A 21,837-nucleotide genomic window follows, 5' to 3' on the forward strand; every position below is an offset into this window, starting at 1 on the left:
AGGACAGAATGAAAACCAAAGTCTCCTGCCTTTTATATTAATGCTTTTTGTACAGTATTATGCTGCTTATACAGTACTATGGCACAATCACCTCTTTTTAAATCCTTTCTGTTTTACAGTACATGAAACCACAATCCAAAACATTCCTCACAACATAAAATACATAAGTTACATAAGAACTCTTAGATTTGTTTGCTATTTTTATGAACATCATCAATGAATAGGCACTGCTCAAATTTATACATGAGCAATAGTACACCTTCTTCCTTCTTACAATTTTACCAAAATTTATTGGTAAAAAATCATTCTAAATTAAATTTTGTTCAGGGATATAGAAGTGTCCATTGCTAATGCTTCTGGGTATTTAACATGATCCTATCTTGTTATCTGCTATAAAATTCAAAGACCAATAAGCAACAATGTCTTGCAATACTGAGAGGCTGTATTTAATACATACATCTTACTCACTGTAATAAAATTAAACATAGTTCATAAGTTGTTACACCATTTAAAAAAAAAGTTTCATATATGAAACATAAATTAGGGAAAAGCCCTGAAATATAGACTCTTCAATTTTTAAAATTCAATTTTTTTCCAATTATATTACTTCATAAGTAAAAGTCATTCATTACTTCATCAAATAGTTCATAGCTAAATAAATTATATCCTTCAATAGATCTAAGGAAATTGCTATTCCAAACTTAAGTACTTCTAAAATCTGAACTTTCTTTTTCAAATAAACTCATTGTTACTTTTTGACTGCATGAAAATAATATCGCTCATCACCAACTCCATTTACATCTATAGAAGAGATGAAATTCCTAACTAAAGCTTCATATGTACCTACTGATATTGTAAGGGTCAAACGAAGTGCTCATATTGCACAGTTAATACTCAAATATAGATATCTTAAACTATTAGCCTACCTATAACCTTGCATTTCCATTATATCCTTATTGCTACAAGAGAGATGCTTTTTCACAGGTTTTTAAAAAATTCCTCAGACCATCTCCTAGCTACTGTTAGTCAACAAAAGATTACAATAACTAAAGCTGCCAGTTGATACTTAAAGACACTGGAATACAGATGGGAGTGTCATTCCCATGATTTTTCAGTTTGAGGAGAATACAAGTATATTATCCTAAACCATCAATCACGGGCCCAAAAAAAGCCAGATTTAGCAACCACCTAATCCAAGCACTTTTGAATGCAAAAATTAATTCTATATCATCATTTATAAAAAGCCCTGTAGCTTCACCTTAAAAAATCCTAGTTATGAGGTCAGGTGCAGTGGCTCACACCTGTAATCCCAGCAACTCAGAAGGCCAAGGTAGGGTTCAATCTTGCCAGTACACTGCACTCCAGCCTACACAACAAAGCAAGACTCTGTCTCTTCAAAAACAAAATAAAATAAAAAATAAATCCTAGGTACGAAGATGAAGATTGGTATTTTGAAGTCAGTCTGATAAACTCTTCAACTCATTATTTAAGAAATTATCCTCTATTGAACTGCAATCTGTTTTCTGAGGAAATTTACGGTAAATCTACTTTCACTTGGTTAAGTCACTCTCTCTAATATTCGAAGGCACTCACTACATGGCAATGCTCCATGCGCAAAAAGAAAAAAAAAAGGAAGGAAGGAAGGCAGAAGGAAGGAAGGAAGGAAGGAAAGGAAAGGAAAGGAAAAGGAGAAGGAAAGGAGAAGGAAACGAGAAGGAAAGGAAAGGAAAGGAGAAGGAAAGGAAAGGAAAGGAAAGGAAAGGAAAGGAAAGGAAAGGAAAGGAAAGGAGAAGGAGAAGGAAAGAAAAGGAAAGGAAAGGAAGGGAAGGGAAAAGGAAAGGAAAGGAAGGGAAAAGGAAAGGAAGGGAAAGGAAAGGAAAGGAAAGGAAGGAAAGGGAAAGGAAAGGAAAGGAAAGGAAAGGAAAGGAAAGGAAAGGAAAGGAGAAGGAGGAGAAAGAGAAGGAAAGGAAAAGGAAAGGAAAGGAAGGGAGAAGGAAAGGAAAGGAAAGGAAAGGAAAGGAAAGGAAAGGAAAGGAAAGGAAAGGAAAGGAAAAGAAAGGAAAGGAAAGGAAAGGAGAAGGAGAAGGAAAGGAAAGGAAAGGAAGGGAGAAGGAAAGGAAAAGAAACGAAAGGAAAGGAAAGGAGAAGGAGAAGGAAAGGACCCATTATTCCTCATCCACTCCATAAATAGCATGGTTTCCAATCCCCTCAGCAACCTACCTCAGCATGCTATCTAGTTTGACAATCTCAAAGTACACTACCTAGAAGAGACCCAGGAATCTATGAATGACGTAAGCAGTATAGAGTAAAATGCTGTTATCTCTATTTGTAAAACAGAATTCTACAAATAACAATGCATTCCTTATCTGTGTGGCAATACATTGTTGTTCATATGGATCTAAGTTCAAGTAAAATCCTGTGACACTAGTCTCTCCAATTCTTTGCTCTCAAAATTAATTTTAATGTATCAAAAAAAAAAAAAAGTCTTAGTTCTTTGGTTCAACACATAATTCTACGCTCCATCCAAATCACTGATAAAAATCTTGAAGATTACAACATAATAGACATGTGACACAGTCTTCAAAAGATAGCCTATGAGAAACCTTGTCAAAGGCTGACAACACTTAAACAATGAAACTCCATGTTATTTCATTATCCATGTAAGTTTTTAATCCTGAAATATAAATACATACAAATAAAATAAAGAAAAACCACTTACTTGTTCCTTCTATAAGCAGTTCTTGTCCATGGCTACCCAAAAGTGTCCGAGAAAGAAAAGGTGCAAAATCCACAAAAATCTCACGAAGGAGAGGAGCTGCCTTTTCCAAAGCGTGTTCAAGCCTCTCTGTAATACTAAGGAAAAGACATTAAGTTACTTGAACTATTCAACAGATTGTATCAATTTTCTAGTTTTGAAAATAAAGATGTATTTCCATATATATATATAATTATTTAAAAAAATTAAAAATCACCTAAAGAGACATTACTGCTATGCATAGCAGTCCTTCTGCCAAAAATATTCGTTTTTATCCTGATCTATCTTGCCCCTACAATCTCCAACAAACAACCTGGTTAACAACCACTCCAAGCATCAGTACTTACTACAAGTCTCACCTGGCCAGTTAAGAGCAGTTTGTTTTTAGGCCCATTATAATCTAAACAAACTCTCATCAAGTCTTCAACAAATTTTTCTATTTACCACTAAACCATTAGCACACTGAGTTCAAGAACCATGACTTCATTTTAAAATTCACAGTTATAGCATATAGTATAGACTCAACAGACGTTGAGTGCTTATAAATTATAAAAAGCAGTTCTTTTTTATTGAAGTCAATTATTCCTTTCTAATGCAATGTGAATGATTTTTCTCCTGAAAATAATATACTTTATAGGCACATTATAACAAAACTATCATTTGGTTGATAGTTATATTTATTAATAAACTGAGATAGTTGTAAATGTACCTATAAATATATAAAAATATATTAATATATATTTGTGATTATATATACATGTATTCATGTATACATACACAGATACATTTAATGAGGGTTTTTTTTTTAAGGTCCCCAGCATTTCAGATAATTCACAGATATCCACAGCTTTAGTTTCTAACTTACAAATTAAACATATACATAAAGAGCCACTAGTTATCTACTATTAACACTAGGAGTACTTCCTATTCATACTACCAAGAAGACAGTTGCTACTGAAACTATCAACACAAACATATATAAATTTTTGCTGTGAATAACCATCTCCTCACAGGCACTGCTCTAAATACTATTTTCTTCCACACAACTCATAGAACTTGTTATCCCTGAAGAGTATCACAAATACTAGCTATACTCGAAGCACTCAAGTACCTACATTTGTAGTGTCTAATGGATTTCCCAATTGTGGTAAAGAAAATCAAGGACTCTCTGGACACTAAGTCTCCAGTGGTGGAAAATACACTCAAAGCATTCGAAATTAAACTCTGAAACCCAATTAAACAAGGTAAGTAACAATAAAAATCTATCTACAATTCAGTATTATTGTGGCTTTGGCTGACTGGCTATCACTTATATCAGCATTTTGTTGTTGTTGTTGTTGTTGTTGTTGTTGTTGTTGAGATGGAGTCTCACTCTGTCTCCCAGGCTGGAGTGCAGTGGTGCGATCTCGGCTCACTGCAGCCTCTGCCTCCCGGGTTCAAGTGATTCTCCTGCCTCAGCATCCCGAGTAGCTGGGACTAAAGGTGTGCACCACCACACCTAGCTAATTTTTTTTAATATTTTTAGTAGAGATGAGTTTTCACCATGTTGGCCAGGCTGATCTTGAACTCCTGACTTCAAGTAATCCGCCTGCCTCAGCCTCTCAAAGTGCTGGGATTACAGGCGTGAGCCACCGCACCTGGCCTATATCAGTATTTTATAGAGGAGAAACAACAAATTCCACACTTTCAATTTGCAATCATTTGAAAGAAAGTCATAAGCTTATGTAAATATTTGTTATGCATGCAGCAATTATTTTTTTACCACAAATAGTCACTTCTCATGAAGTGACTTGTACATCATGAAATGACTTGTACATCATCAAATGACTTGTACATCTTATAATCTTTCAAAAGAAAATGAACTTCTAAAATGTTCCCAAGCCTCTAAATGTCATATATGTTGAAAGAAAGAAATGAAATGAAATGAAATGAAACGAAGTAAAATAAACCTAGATAGCTTAAAAAGTCATCAAAAGGTATAAATCACAATATTCAAGTTAGTAGCTTAAATACCTCATATTTGAAACCGGATCTTGTGAAACTGAATCAACTGTTGGAACTGAGGGCAATTTTGCATTAGATGATCTACTGCCTATAAAAGAAAAATAACCATCTATAGGAATTTTCTGCTTTTAGATATGAAGATTTAAATAAAAAGAATGTCATTATACCAGTCAATAAAAGCATTATAACGTATTTTTATGTCCATTACTATTTGGATAACATTAAAATCTAACAATTAACAACTAAATGCTTTCATATATAAACCTCAGCTACAAGCTCAATTATCATGCCAGAGCAATCTTTCTATCCATGAGCTGAAGAAGCAAGAGAAAAGTAAATTCTGACTCCCTAAATAAGGTTCACAATTCCTTCTACTCAACACCAAGTGTCAACAGAAAGTTACAAGTAAAAGCATTTTCTTAACATAGCAAAAACACAGAAACAGCTACATTCCAAATTTAGCTTTAAACCTCCATTACCATGAAAACTATCCGTATTCAGTTATCAAATCACTACTAAAGGACTAAATTGTAGCAATAAATGTAATCAGGGTTAGAAGCCTAGATCTCTGAGAATCTGTAATCTTGTATCACAACTATTATCAGTTATTTTCCCCTTATGCCCCAAATACAAAAACACTATGCTTTAAAGAGAATAAGGGCCCTCTTTCCCAAAGATTGTTGAATCTTTCAGTCCAAAAGTGATTAGAAACACATCAAGGAAAGCATCTGCATCAGGCTGGAGGTTGTGTTGGCCCAGAGAAAGTTATTGGAGCCAGTGTGAGGAGGAAATCCAAGGAAAAGAGAAAACTGAGAATTGTAGAATTCATATCTATATGAATTCATGGTTCCAATAAAGGATGGAAATAATATGTGAATGACAGTATATATTTTTATAGACTTTTATATACAAACATACACACACACAAACACACACACTGCCTCTAGCTCTGTCCACTAAGAGGACACGGAAGCAGCAGCATCTTAACACTTGGTGTCCAGATCTTGGTTTCTAAATACTATACTCCACTAAAAGAAAGAAATGGCTGATTCAAGATCTGTGTAAGAAAAGCACAAAATGAGTTTGAAACATCTAGTTATGCTTTGTAGAAAGCAAGGAATGATAAGATATATACAAGGAATAAGGTTATGTCAAAGGACAATGAAGCCAGCTTGAAGGGGCTCCCACTGATCAAATACCATTGTACTCCATCCTGGGTAAGAAAGTGAAACTCCGTCTCAAAAAAAAGAATTGCCATTTTTGGCCAGGTGCAGTGGCTCACGCCAGTAATCCCAACACTTTGGGAGGCCAAGACAGGAGGACTGCTTGAGCTCAGGAGTTCAAGATTAGCCTGTGAAACACAGCAATGCCCGTCTCTACTAAAAATACAACAAAGTGGCCAGGAATGGTTGTGTGTGCCTGTGGTCCCAGCTAGGTCCCAGCTCAAGGATCACTTGAGCCTAGAGGGCAGAGGTTGCAGTGTGCCAAGACTGCACTACTGCATTCTAGCCTGAGTGACAAAGCAAGACCCTGTCTTAAAATACGATACGATACGATACGATACGATACGATACGATACGATACGATACGATACGATACGATACGATACGATACGATACGATACTTCCCTCTGCTTCACACCACTCCCAGAACTTCCTCAAGCTCACTTCAATTGTATCTAGGAATTCTGATTCAATGTGCTCTTTTTGGTAAGGCAAATAAGGTTAATTCTGGATATAGATAAGCATAGCCAGGACCTAATCAGAAGATTTGTGGATATAACTGAATAAAAAACAGCAAGGATCTGAGGCAATTTTGAACTTTCCTGAAACATGCTTGGTTTTTAGGCAGTACTTGATCAATAACCCTCAGTTCTGATTACCAGGTCTCAGTCAAATCTAAGGATCCAAAAATCTAGACAATTTGGCCCCCCAACAAGCTTGGTTCCTTTTGGAAAGCAGGCAATGCAGCAATCTTCCACAATTAACCTCTGGATAATTACTGAGCCCACCCCTTAGAGTGAGCACATACCTAGTACAAAATGAACTTAACTGTAGTTAATCTTTCTTTTCCACAACATATTTCCTTTCCCATTCCCTTGATAATCAAAGTTGACTTTCCTTTATATACCGGAAGTTTTGTATTGCTTACAGTCCTGCCTTCCTCACCATCCTGCTCAACTGAGATCTAACTGTACCTAAAAACTCTAACCAAGTGACTGTTGGTCAGGACGCATAGGATTCGTTTAAAAATGAAGCTAAAGCACACACTTCATCATGCTGACAATTATTTTTTATTTTTCTTTTTTTGAGAGAGGGTCTTGCTCTCTCACCCAGGCTGGAGTGCAGTGGTGTGATCAGAGCTCACTGCAGCCTTGAACTCCTGGACTCAAGCCGTCTTCCTGCCTCAGCCTCCCAAGTAGCTGGGAATATAGGTGGATGCCACCACACCTGGCTATTTTCTATTTTTTTTGTAGAGACAGGGTCTCATTATGTTGCCCAGGCGGGTCTCGAACTCTTGGTCTCAAGCAATCCTTTGGCCTTGGCCTCCCAAAGTGCGAGGGTTATAGGTGTGAGTCACCATGCCCAGCCCATTGTGACAATTTTTAAAAGCATAAATATCAATTCACATTTCATCATAAAAATATTGCTATTTTTGTGTTTTTCACAATAAAATTTCAAATTAGAGGGCAAGACCAGGGAAGTTCAAAAACATTTTTTCACCCTTTGGTATCTGGCACTTCTAAGAGTCAGGTCCAATCCTAAAATCATATACAACACTCAGTAAAGTACTTCACAGACCCAATGGCTTTATTAAACTCAGTAAATGACACCTGCAATTTTCTAAGTTCTTGACAACTATATGATCACTGAATCACAGTGGGTCATTGACTGTTACCAGTGATTAATTAAATAGTTCTGTTTTCTTAATTGGTGATAGTTTTTGAAGACCATTTTTATTGCAATGTATCAGACATTTTCTCTATTAGGATTATTGATGGATTTTCTTGAGCTTTTCTGAAGCTAATACAAAGGAACACATAAGGACCCATTTACTTAAAAGTAGAAATGGAAAAAATAAATCCCTCCCCAGAAAACATATGCATGAGGCTTTAGGAAAAAAAAAAAAAGGGGGTGTGCATGAGGCTTTAGGCAAAATTAGTCTTTACTGTGTTAACTGGTTTATTGGGTTTTTTGTTTTTTGTTTTAAGAGACGAGGTCTTGCTCTATTGCCCAGGCTGGAGTGTACTGGTGTGATCATAGCTCACCACAGCCCTGAGTTCCTGGACTCAAGTAATCCTCCTGTCTCAGCCTTCTGAGTAGGTGAGATTACAGGCATGTACCACCACGTTCAGCTAATTTTTTTTAATTTCTTGTAGAGATAAGGTCTCACTTTGTTGTCCAGGCTAGTCTTGAACTCCTGGCTTCAGGTGATTCTTCCACCCCAGCCTCTCAAAGTGCTGGGACTACAGGTGTAAATCACCACACCCTGCCCACTGTGCTAAATGATACTAATTTTAATGAGAAATGCATATTAGAAATGTGAAAAAGAAAAGCAACATTGTTACTTCTAAATAAAGCAGTAACAAAAATTATTTCCTCACACTACCCTAGAAGTAATGCCAATTTTCAATTCTAAAAGAGAATATAGCAGAAAGAGATTTTTTACAGTGTCTTAAGTCATAAGAAGACACTTTACCAACACGGATAATAAATTAACCAGCAATAGTTATAAGAAAAAAATCACATGAAAGAATAAACTAAATACACCAGTAATTTCACACTAGGTTGTCCTCCATTCCTGCTGTGGAAAAAAATGTAATATCCAAACACATTCTGTATTTTTTCAACTCAGGTAAAAATATAAACTTTCAATCAATTTGTTTTAAATTATCATTAAATATTTCCAGCAAATGATCACAAATACATAAATGCAGAAGCTACCTCCTACATGTGGAATGATACTCACTTATCTTTTCCTTATCCTAGCACTGATAAACTGGCTCCTTCTAACTGACAGTTTTCCAGACATTCAAAAGAACAAAAAGGAAAATGCAAATATATCATCTGTCTAGCATCTATCTGGGGAGTAGGCAATTGTTTATTTAAGGTCCCTGCGGGTCTAAATAACTAATGTCCCTTGCAATAAAGAATCATTAAAACAAATGCCAATTTTTAACCCCTAAACACTTTAGCACTGCATTTCTCTCTCTCTTTTCTGAACCAGTTAATTCAGCCTGGGATAGTCTACATGCCCAGTAAAAACTAATTAAACAAATCCTATTGAATGAATAAAAATAAGCCTATTGGCCTAAATCTTACACAAAGCAAAGATGGTTATGACTCAAATATTTCCCTAATATTAAAAAAGTACTAATTAATAATGTATATGGCTCTGATAAACAGATACTGTCTAATATTCTAGTAAGTGGTAGAATTACTAAATTTTGCAAAATAGCAAACACCAGGCATATAAATTAGTGAACAGTATACTTAGTTCCACTATTGAGCTAGTTTCAATTTTGATTTATTCATTTATGCTTTGCAATATAGAGAAACAGCATATTGGAAAAAGAATAATGATATTTTAACATACAAGAAGGGATATGGGTGAAAGTGGAAGGATCACTTGAAGCCAGGACTTCAAGGCTTGTCTGGGCAATAGAACAAGACTCTGTCTCTACAAAAATTTTAAAATTAGCCAGGAATGGTGACACACACCTGTAGTTCTGGCTACTTGGGAAGCTGAAGCAGGAGGATCACTCAAGCCCAGGAGTTCAAGGCTGCAGTTGAGCTATGATTGTGCCACTGCACTCCAGCCTGGGAAACAAAGACAGACCCTGTCTCAATTAAAAAAAAAAAAAAAGAAAGAAAGAAAGAAAGAAAAGAAAAAAGAAAGGATACTGTATTCTAGGTAATCAGATCTTTGCTGATGACTATAAAATTTCTAGATTTTGATATATTTACTAAAATCACTTTCGCTTTTCTTTGAAAACATGCATATACAAGGATATGCCTTATCCTCTGATGAATATCTTTTAATACTTATTAATTAGAAGATACAATTGTTGCTCTTAGACTAGTCCTTTTGGTTGATAAAATGCTGCATAAGCTAAGGTATACTATTCAAATTAAAATTTGAAATTTGAAATTTGTACACCAAAAAAGTTTTGTATGTTAATTACAGTCTTAATAATGTATACTATTTCAAAATGCAAACAAATTCTCAATTTTTATGGGTTATAAAATTTTTCAGTGATAATATTTTCATAGAAAAAGCTTGGACCTCATATAAAGCTGGCAAGTTTTAACTCTGTTTCTGTGATTATTATCTATCTAGTACTAGTTTCTCTTTAATTGTACCACATGTAAAATGTGTCTCATTTTGATATCAAAATTTCCAAATATCCACAAATGGGAATTTCCTTGAAGATATCATGTGAATATATAACAGAAAATATGAATGTCACAGAAGAAACTTCATATTTTCTATCAAGTAAATTTTTTGCCCAACTGTAGGATAATGTAAGTGTTCTGAGCACATTTAAGATAGGGTAGATTAAGCTATGTTGTTTGGTAAGTTAGGTGCATTAAATGCATTTTCAATTTTCAATATTTTCACCTTACAATGGTTTATCATGATGTAACCCCATCATAAGTCAAGGAGCATCTATATTCTAAGTCACAAATGCATTTAACAGAGCCTATTTTATAAGAAGGTATTGGATATATCACATAATTTACTAAATATTGTATTGAAAGTGAAAAATAGAATGGTCATACGGATACTTGAGGTACAGTTTTTACTGAATGTGTATTGCTTTCACACCATTATAAAGTCAAAAAATTGTTAAGATGGAACCATCTATATATTTATCTACTTATTTTAATGGCAGATAACTTAAATCGAGAGACCCACCAAAAAGAAAACAAAAATTTAACAGTTAAAAAAATACTGACAAGGGAAAGAGAACTATTTGGGAGGTTGGGGTAGTTTCCATGTGAAAATGAGTACTAACAAGTACAAGGGCAAGTATAGTAGGCAAAAGCATGTAAAGTGGGGCGGCAGAAGAGTAAGAAGCAGGACAACCAAAAACACTAGATTAGGTTAGATTTTTCTTATCAAGGCAGTAATGTTCATGGCATCAATTAACGGAATAAAATAGAAGCAATACACTGAAATAGAGAACCCATATGACAGTAACAAGAACACAGTGAAAGAGGAAAAAGAAGAGTCAGATGTGGAAACCAAAACAAATGGTAAACAGAAAGACCATCATCACAAGGAAGACTTGAAATAACTGAAAAAGCAATAACTGTTTTTTTAAAAATGGGGGGGGCTAAGGAGGGGAAAAAAGTTTAAAATTCTAGCTCAAGATGGAAAAAAAAATTGGTAACTATTTGAGAAACTCCATCACAAATTATACAAAATTTAAACAATAGAAAAATAAGATACATTATGAGCTGGATCAATGGTATAGGGTTTTGTAGATTTTGCCAATAAATGTAACAGTCTTCAAGATAGCAAATTGTTTTATAATTCTGCATACAGTTTTTCAAAGTGAATATTTTAAATTACAATGAATTTATTGGAAAAAATACAATGGTTTCAGAGAGAAATGTATAATACTGTTACATGTAAAATATTACCCATATGTCTCAGCTGTTTCTTATCTCTTCTGAAAACTCCAAGACTTAAATTTTAAAGAATAGACTTAAAAGCAATCAAAGGGTCCTATTTCCTCTGTTCCTAAACTGAAACTAGAGGGCAGTATAAGAAAATATTTTACTCAATGTACTTTGAATTTCTGAAACTACATTTGATTTTGGATGTTAATGAAAAATTTACTATACCTGAATTTAAAAGACGGCAGGTAAATCATTTCATAGATATTAATAACTATTGCATTTTTCACAAAAGGGACTACTCTAGAAAAACCACAGTTGATTCTTTTTTTTTAAAGGACTTTGGATGGGGGTGGAGAAGCGGAAATGTGCATACCCAGCTCCAAATGAATTACCAAATTATTTCTTCTCCAAAGGAAAAAAAAAAAAGAGGCATCAGAGTATAATGGAACAATAAAGATGAAAAATTTGCTAGAGTTTCATGCCCATTTTCCTTTGTAATTCTCACTGGGCCAGGGGAAACCAGCGAGGGAGAGAATGACAGGGTATTTGAGAATTCTCTGTACTTCAAACTCAATTTTCCTGTAAACTTAAAACTGATCTAAAAAATAAAGTCTATTAATTTTTGGAAAAAATTATAAAATAAAAAGCAAGGCAGACAAAACTCTGCTACCATCGCAGCTTTTGGTTTCAAACTAGAAAAAAAATTCTAATCACTATTTTTCCTAAGAATAAAAATAATACAAGACTATTAATTAAATGTTAGAAATGCCACCTAAAGTAAATTTCGAAAATCAAAATTGCCAGTAGCCCAACTTCATGGAGATCCAAATGACTTCATAATACACTTTCTTGCTTTTACCATGTAAAGAAGGTAGATAAGTCACTTGGTTGTAATTATACAGTACGTAAAGAATTGCATATAACTTTCTTTTACTTAACCTACTGGAACATTTTCTCTATTCACTAAATACTATAAAATTTGTAAAAAAATTAAATACATTTAAAACTTCTTATAAAATGTATTTTTGTTAACACAAGCACAATAACAAATAAAAGAGAAGACAAAAGAAATAAACATAGTATTTGTTTCTAGGATACATGATTACATAGTACACATCAAGGAAAAAAATTCCCAGCTACTGGCCAGTAGCAATATCAAGTTTGGAACAAAACTCTCCAAGATATGCTAATTTGCCAAATAAAGGTGGAACAGCAGAATAGAAGGCAAACCCTGGCCTGAGATATCCCAAAAGAAGTAACGGCATTATTTCTGATCTCAATATAATCCACCAGGCCATTCCTTCAAAATTCCTTTATTTTCCGTCAATCTCAACCTAGAATCATAAGATGAGTGTTTTGGTAGGTACAATATCTTGTTATTAACTTTAAGAAACAGCAAAATATCCAGAAGAAAACCACTGATACAGTAACATCCCTTTTGTTATACTTGGTCATTTTAATACTGCACATTCTTCACATTATTCAAGTTTACCCAGTATCACCATTAAGCTTCCCATCAATGTATAGGATCTTGCATCCATATATATGCTTTTATACATGGAAATAATTTTTTATCCATATATATGCTTTTAAACATGGAAAGAATGTAGAAGGAGAGATGGACAAAAATAAAAGTGCTATAGGAGGAAATGAACCAGTATGACCATTGTTAGAATGATGCTACACTTCAGAGCAGCATTCCTTTCCAAGCCTCTAATTCAAAAAAATATGCCAAAAAAAACAAAGTATTGGACACTATATAAATATTTTTTTTTTGTACAGTCCAAAATATTTGACAACCAGTAACCACATTAAAAGATTACATGTCAACAAGACTTTCTTATTTAGGCCACTATCTATATACATCTTCTTAAGTGCAGGGAAAGAAAATAAAGGAAAAAAATATTTTTATGAATCTATCATTCATCCATGCACTCATCTACCCAACTAGCAGCATCTAATCTACCACACACTACTAGGTTTGAGTGGAGAAAATAGTGAAATCCTTGACTTAATTTCTTTTAATTTTACTCAAATTTATTCAGAAAAGTAGTAAACAATCAACAGTATAAAAGTACAATGGTTTCTAATGTGCCCCCAAATTTTAAGTTAATCAAAAATCTTAAGCGTTGCTAAAATGAGATCTAAAAACATTTTTGTTGAAATCACTGATAACTAACTCACCTGGTGATTCTCCTCCCATATCTGAGGCTTGGGCTGAATCTACTGAGGAAACCACACTGACAGCATTGGTAGGTATGCTTGTATTAAAGGTGGAAGGTGAGACTGCTGACTTTTTTGCTGCAACAATGACACTTCTGTAATAAAGAAAGTAAACAGACTGAAAGATACAAATTGATCTCTTGAATTAATTACATGAATTTCAAAACAGAAACTAGGTAGCTAACTTATTTTTCTAATTTTCTTTCTTATTTCTATTTGATGTACAATTTAGACTTTTCACCCAACATGAAATATCTTCAATACTGTCCATATTTATCTGCATTTCACTATGAAAATATAATAATCTATTTAACATTTAAGCTTATATTTACCACATAGTATTTTTAAAATTTAGGATCATCTTAATTATCTAACAAATAAAATATAACCAAAAGTATTAAAGCAGAAAATTCAACGTTTCCACAAGAATTGTAAAGCACTGCTAATCTGAAATAATAAAACCTTAGAAATCTTATAAGCTTAAAAAAAAAAAGCAGATATAAGCAATTTGCTAACATGTATACAACCCAGTTTTTCATTTTTAAACCCCAAAGACTATATCTTTTGATAATATATAAAAAAGCAATGCATAGGAATAAAAACCATACGCAAAAATATCAAATAGTCAAAGTTCTTTATCTTGTATATTATTCAAACACAGGTATTTATGATATACCAATTTCAATTAAAATGTAATACTTTATACCAAACAGTAAGTAAAAGACCTTGTTAGGCATAACTTAAAAGGCATTTTTAATTGAAGTTGGCTCCATAAACATGCAAAAACTCAGTTAATGAGGTAAAGAGGACAGCTGATATATAATGCACTCCCACAGCAGTGCTTACTTTTAATTACCTGGTGTTAACCATAAGCCCAAAGTCTTCAACATTCAATTTATTTAATCACATCTTTTGTTGACAGTACTATAACTGCGAGCTTCAAGTATTCCCTTAATAGCTTTAAAGTATTCAGCTTCTAAACAAAGTAACTTAGGTATTTGATCCCTATACATGCATTCAAAAGTGAAAATTATGTAATTCCAATATTTTAATAATACATTTTTGTAGTTATTTTTAAAAACACACACACAAAGCAAAATAGGTTTCGTTTTACCTCAGTGCCTATCATGTGAGGGCAAACACTGTTGCCAATTAAATCAAGGTCTCTTGTGCTAGGCATGGCTTATTCAATGTACTTCAGGGTAGCTGGTGTCACATCATTATAAGGGTGACTGCCAATGTTAACTATACACTAAAAAATAGAAGCAACAGCCACCTGAGCCCCCAATCCAAAATGGTGTGCTTAAATCACAGCAGCTTATATCAGATGAAGATTATTGACTTAAGGGGGAGTAGATATGACGAATGTCTGTGTGTGTGTGTGTGTGTGTGTGTGTGTGTGCGTGCACGAATGTGTGTGTGTACGTATGTATTAGTGGTACCTTCAAAAACAACGCAAAATGTAATTTTTGTATTTCCTACTGGAGGGAGAAATTTAAAACCCATTGCTTAAGAAAATCACTGTCTTCTACCAATGTTTTTGCAGGGGAGGGAGGAGAAATATGAAGAATTTACTTTCACATTTGTTCACAAAAGAAAGAACCAGCAAGATCTAGTTTACTCATACTGTAAGTAGGGACTGAATTGAGCAATAGAAAAGAATACTTAGAAAAGTGCAATTGCTTTTTCTATAATCAAAATGTAAGATATATACCCATCTATGCTATGACTCAACAATTCCACTTCTAGGAATTTCCTCAAGAAAGCTTATGTCCACAAAACATGTATACAGTAATGGTCATACAGGCTTTATTTATAATAGTCAAAAACTGGAAATAGCCCAAATGTCCTTTATGCAGATATAGTAAATTTTTAATGGTGCTATGCTTCTAGAATGGAATATTATTCAGCAATAAAAGGTAACAAACTACTGATGAATGAAATGAAAAGGTAACAAACAACATGGATGAATCTCAAAAGCATTATGTTGAATGAAGTCTTATACTAAGGAGTATATACTTTATGGGTTTTTTTTTTTTAACATGCATGTCTAGAACAGACAAAACTAATTTATGGTAGAAAAAAATCAGAATAATTGCCTCTGGGGGATAGGAACAGGAATTGGCTGGGAAAGAGAACTTTCAAGACCAATGATATCATGATGGGGACTTAAGGTTACACAAGTGTATAAATTTGTCAAAACTCATCAAATGGTACACTTAAGACCTGTGTCTTTCATTGTATGTAAATTTTAGCTCAAAAAAAAAAACTGTATTCATCTCCAGTTAGAGAGCTGCATGCTGGCTGAAATATTTAAGAGTGAAGTGAACTGATGTCTACAACTTTGAAGTACATTACAAAAATAAGATTGATTGATGGATACATGGTGAAGCAAACAGAGCTAAAAGCTAATTGTTGAATCTCAGTGATGGGTCTACAGGTGTTCACTGTGCAATTCTTTCAACTTTTCTGTATGCCTGAACATTTTCATAATAAAACACTGGAAAACTGGTAACAGAACAGAATTTACTACAGCTGTTCCAAATATGCACAATCCCTATTTATTCAAGATGACATAGCTAATTAAACACAACAAAAGAACTCAACTTCATTTCTAATCCTCTAGCCTCTTGCTGTTAATGTTTCAGTCACAAATAAGATCTTATTCTTTTATTCAGTTCAGTAAATATTTATTGTCCAAGATCTTTCACCTATTGTCAGGAATGATAGATCAGAAGTACGGCTTTCTACATGAATTTACATTTTACATGTTCCTCACACACTTCTTCAACATGCTCTTATGGTTGCTAAGCGTGTTGTGTCATTTCACAACTCCAACCCTTCGTATATATGCCTCCTCTGCCAAGATGCTTTCTTCTTAATCCTGCTTGCTTGTTAGGTAATATAAAATTATAAATTCTAATAGCAGCTAAGATAAATGCACTGACAATATGCCAACAATTATTATTCAATTCTCAAAACAATCCTAAGGTACATATTAATTCAATTTTTAGAAATTTTAAATAAAAACCTCAGAAAGGTAAAGTAATAACCAAAGTAAATGGTAGAACTACCATGGAAATCTAGGTTTATCTAACAGCAGAGCCTTGAATTTGAACCGTTTCCCCATGTTGACCTTTCTTAAAACTTCAGAGATATAATTCACATACCATTTAATTCACTAAAAATATACAGTTAAGAGATTTTTGGTATGCTCACAAAGTTGTATATTTATCACCACAATCATATTAACATTTAAACATAATTTTAGAATCATCTATAATCAACAGCAATAAAGATCTCTAACATATAAAATTATTTATATACTACCATAAAATCACAAAAATACATCTGCTCATAAATTTTTAAAAGCTGAATTATTTCATATAGCTACATAATTAGTATATAATAGAGAAATAAAATCAATTTCCAAATTCGCTGACTGATTCAAATCAATTCTAAGGAATTAACATAACATTGCTTCAGCTTAAGGCTACACAAAATCAAAGAAAAATCAAAGTTACAATGATCCAATTAAAAGGACACTAAGCAGTAGGTAGATTTTGAAATATTTTCATTGTCTTTACCAATCATTGTCATTATTACTATAAAGTTTCAGTGTAAAAGACTAAAATCTTCAACAGAGATCTTTAACCTATCGTGTTTATGTTGTTAAATATAAGTATAAATCTAAATTAGTAAAGCATGTTCCACAGTTAACAAAAATAATCTAGAATTTTAAACTTACCAATAGTTAAGATTGATCATGCAAAAACTAAGCATTTAATATTACCTTTTTATACAATGCATTGGAAAACACAGAGGAAAATGCAATATGCATTTGACAAAACTGAGACTTTACATGACAGACAATGTGCTAGGGATATTTCTGGCATCTTTCTCAGGCTACAGCTTAAGTTTCTATTTAAGAAACAAATTGAAATCTTTTTTAATGTTTAAGAACAATTATTGGAACTTTTTATATCTACATCAATTTTAGCAGAAAGTGCTTCAAACTTTTTAGCATAAGGAATCTGAAAGATAGACAACCAATTATGCAAGCTGGTTTCCCAAATTGTCAATTATAAACCAAATATTAAAAGAGATAAAAATTGTTCTTATTATCATTTTTTTCTTTATGAACTCACTATGAATACTTAATATTTGTGGGGCACCGTGCTTAAGAACATACACAAATTATCATATTTAATTTATGACAACCCTTGAGATTAGTAGTACATATTATTATGCTAATTTTACAAATGAGAAAGAAGTAATTTTCCTAAAGTACCACACAGAACAAATGAAAATACTGTTGCTGGATTTTTTTTTTCCCCTGAACAAGGGATACTCATTTCAAAGTTTCTTTTAATTTACTGGCAATAGGCAAATAGCAACAATGCCTTCCCGATCAATAAAGTTGAGAACTTCCATTTCAGTATTATATCAGTTTCAAATATCACAAACCCTCACACAAATGCTATTTTACTTAACATGCAAATAGTTCACTAAAGGAAAAAAGAGCATTTCAGCCTACCACTTCAGTCCCTAAGGATCCAGTTGAAAAGCCAAACCAGTCCTTGAACTTTATCAAGATAAATCCCTGGCATTCACTAATCATCAGAGAGGATCTTCAAATTAGATAAGAACAAGAATTTTGGCATGGGAATGAACACAAACACCTTTGCATTCACAAAGGCCCACAACCTGGCAGCCTTTCAGCAAGGTTTTATTCATGTAGCTGTTACTCTAAACTTTCCAGCTATTCCTTGGAAGTTGATAATACTTAAGATATGAGGAGAGTTGTGATTTCTGACATAGCATTCCTGAGATAAATACATGATCAGAGGGATGCTTTGAAATTCCCAAAGATATTCCACTAGCCCAAGGCAGCATGAAAGTTTTTACAAAGGGGTCTCTAAATAAGAAAAAAAAAGAGGGTAAAAAACAGAGCAGTTTCCTTGCCATCAGAGACTGTTAAATGAATACTAGACATGTTAAATTCTACAGAACATCCTGGAAAATGCTACCATCAAAATTATCTGTTGTTTTCTATTTCAATAAACCCCTTAAAATGTATTACACCTAAGCATGATTTCCTAAATATGTTCATGATCTACTCACTGAAGACATCAGTAAGGCACAAATTTAATTTCTACACTATTTTAAAAAGAAATAAATGCTAAAATACATAAAATTTTGATCATTAGTAAACAATGTAACTATATTAACATATATTAAATTTAAAAGTATAGCCTCACATATTTCTGGGTACTCAATCTAACACTAACAAATCTAAATAAATTATAAAAATTGAGAATAGACAGGGCACAGTGGCTCACGCCTGGAATCCCAATGCTTTGGGAGGACAATGCAGCAGGATCGCTTGAGGTCAGGAGTTCAGCACCAGCCTGGGCAACAGAGCAACACCTCATCTCTACAAAAAATTTTTTAAATAGCTGGACATGTTGGTCCCAGCTACTCAGGGGACTGAGGAAGAACGATCCCTTGATCCCATGAGTTTGAGGCTGCAGTGAGCTATGACTGCCACTGCACTCCAGCCTGGGTGGCAGAGCAAGACACCGTCTCAAAAATAAAATAAATAAATAAAAATTGAAGCCAGGCGCAGTGGCTGATGCCTGTAATCTCAACACTTTGGATCACTTGAGGCCAGGAGTTTGAGACCAGCCTGGCCAACATGGTGAAACCTCATCTCTACTAAAAATACAAAGACTAGCTGGGCATGGTGGCACACATCAGTAATCACAGCTTAAACCGGTAAGCACAGTGTTATAAACACAAACTAGTTCTATTTTTAGTTGCCTCGGGAACCTCCAAACTGTTTCCCATAGTGGTTGTAGTAATTACACTCCCACCAACAGTATATGAAGGTTCCCTTATCTCCACATCCTTGCCAACATTTGTTACTGCTTATCTTTTGGATATAAGCGATTTTAACTGGAGTGAGATGATATCTCATTGTTTTGATTTGCATTTTTCTGATCAATGATGTTGAGCATCTTGTCATAAAATCATTTGACATTTCTATGTCTTCTTTGAGAAATGTCTATTGAGATCTTTAGCCCATTTTAAGGTTATCATTTCGTTTAAAATGTAGTAATATTTTTAAATTATTATTAATACATTTCTTCCTATAGAGTTGGTTGAGTCCCTTATATATTCTGATTATTAGAACCCTTGTCAGTTAACCAGAATTATAAGTTTATTATATAATCCCCAGTCTGTGGGTTGTCTCTTCAATTTGTTGATTGTTTTCTCTGCTATGCATAAGTTCTGTAGCTTGATGTGATCTCATCTGTCCATGTTTGCTTTGACTGCCTGTGCTTTTGGGGTATTACTCGAGAAATCTCCCCAGATTAATGTCCTGGAGAGTTTTTCCAATGATTTTTTTTCAGTAGTTTCATAGTTTCAGGTCATAGATTTAAGTCTTTAATCCATTTTGAACTGATTTTTGTATATAGTAAGAGATAAAGGTATTCATTCTTCTGCATATGGATATACACTTTACTCAGTACCACTGAGAAGACTGTCCTTTCCCCATTGCATGTTCTTGGCACCTTTGTCAAAAATGAGTTCACTTGTAGACGTGTGGATTTATTTGAGTTCTCTATTCTATTCCATTGGTCTATGTATCTGTTTTTATGACAGTATCATGCTGTTTTGGTTACCATAGCTCTGTAGTATAATTTGAAGTTTTGTTCTCTTTGCTCAGGATAGCTTTGGCTATTCTGAGTCTCTGTGGTTCCATATAGTTTCTAGGAATATTTTTTCTATTTCTGTGAAGAATGTCACTGGTATTTTGATATGGATTGCACTGAATCTGTAGATTGCTTTGGGTAGCATGAACATTTTAACACTATTAATTCTTCCAATCCATGAATATGAAATATCTTTCATTTTGGGGGTCCTTTTTAGTTTTTGCATCAATGTTTTATAGTTGTCACTGAGGGATCTTTCACTTCTTTGGCTGTTTATTCCTAGGTATTTTACTTATAGCTATTGTAAATTGGATTACTTTCTTGATCTCTTTTTCAGATTGTTCACTGTTAGCATATAGAAATGATACTAATTTTTGTATGCTAATTTTTGTCATGCAACTGTACTGAATTTATCAGTTATAATAGTTTTTTATGGACTCTTTAGGTTTTTCTAAATACTCTAAATACAAGATCATATCATCTGCAAACAACTGACATCTTCCTTTCCAATTTAAATGCCATTTCTTTCTCTTGTCTGATTGCTTTACCTAGGACCTCCAGTACTGTGTTGAGTAACAGTAATGAAAGTGGGCATCGTTGTCTCATTCCAGATTTTAGAGAAAAGGCTTTCAGTTTTTCTCTGTTCCATATGATACTAGCTGTGGATCTGTTCTTTATGGCTTTTTATTGTGTTATGTTCCCTCTATATGCAGTTTTTTAAGGGTTTTTATCATGAAGGAATAGTGAATTTTATCAAATGCTTTTCAGCAGCAATTGAAATGATCATATGGCTTTTGTCTTCCATCCTGTTGATATGATGTATCACACTGATAGTTTGTGTATGCTCAGACATTCTTGCATCCCCAGAATAAATCCCACTCATTATGCATCAATTTTTAAAAAGTTTCTTTGAGACAAGTTCTCCCTCTGTCACCCAGGCTGGAGTGCAGTGGCATGAACACAGCTCACTGTAGTGTCAAACTCCTGGGCTCCAGTGATCCTCCCGCCTCAGCCTCCTGAGTAGCTGAGACTACAGGCACACATCACCATGCCCAGCTAATCTTTTTGTTTTAAAATCTCACCGTGTTGCCCAGGCTAGTCTCAAATTCCTGGACTCAAGCAATCCTCCCACCTCAGCCCACAAAATGCTGGAATTGCAGGTGTGAGTCACTGCACCCAGACAAAAAAAAAAAATTCATAAAATGAAAAATCTCAGAAGACACAAAAATAAGTTAAAATATATCAAAACTTACAAACACAAACACTTAGAAATAGTACATGGTACCATCTACAGTTAAAAGAAATGTAAACAATGTAAATTTCAATTATTAAAGCATAACTGTATAAAATTAACATTAATGCATACTGTACTACTGTAATAATTTCATAGCTACTTCCTGCCACAATTGCATTGAGCATTGGTATTGTTAGCATCACTTAAAATGCTGTGTGACACTAGTCATCTCAGAGCACGCAGTTCATCTCTTTTTATGGGGCAGGGGGGGAA

General features: G+C 33.8%; 1 protein-coding gene across 9 annotated transcripts in view; it reads right to left on the bottom strand.

Moving 5' to 3' along the window:
* LRBA (LPS responsive beige-like anchor protein) overlaps nucleotides 1-21,837 on the bottom strand; it is a 751,293-nt gene that overhangs the window by 539,117 nt on the left and 190,339 nt on the right. For all 9 annotated transcript variants that reach the window (XM_047416462.1, NM_001367550.1, NM_006726.5 and 6 more), the window contains exons 31-33: nucleotides 13,573-13,706; nucleotides 4,769-4,847; nucleotides 2,720-2,853 (exon numbers count right to left, since the gene is read on the bottom strand). In XM_047416462.1, the coding sequence (XP_047272418.1) occupies nucleotides 2,720-2,853; nucleotides 4,769-4,847; nucleotides 13,573-13,706 (347 nt within the window). The remainder of the gene's footprint in view (nucleotides 1-2,719; nucleotides 2,854-4,768; nucleotides 4,848-13,572; nucleotides 13,707-21,837) is intronic.

The sequence above is a fragment of the Homo sapiens genome, chromosome 4 (genome assembly GCF_000001405.40).
Source record: "Homo sapiens chromosome 4, GRCh38.p14 Primary Assembly".
In the NCBI taxonomy this organism is placed as follows: Eukaryota; Metazoa; Chordata; class Mammalia; order Primates; family Hominidae; genus Homo; species Homo sapiens.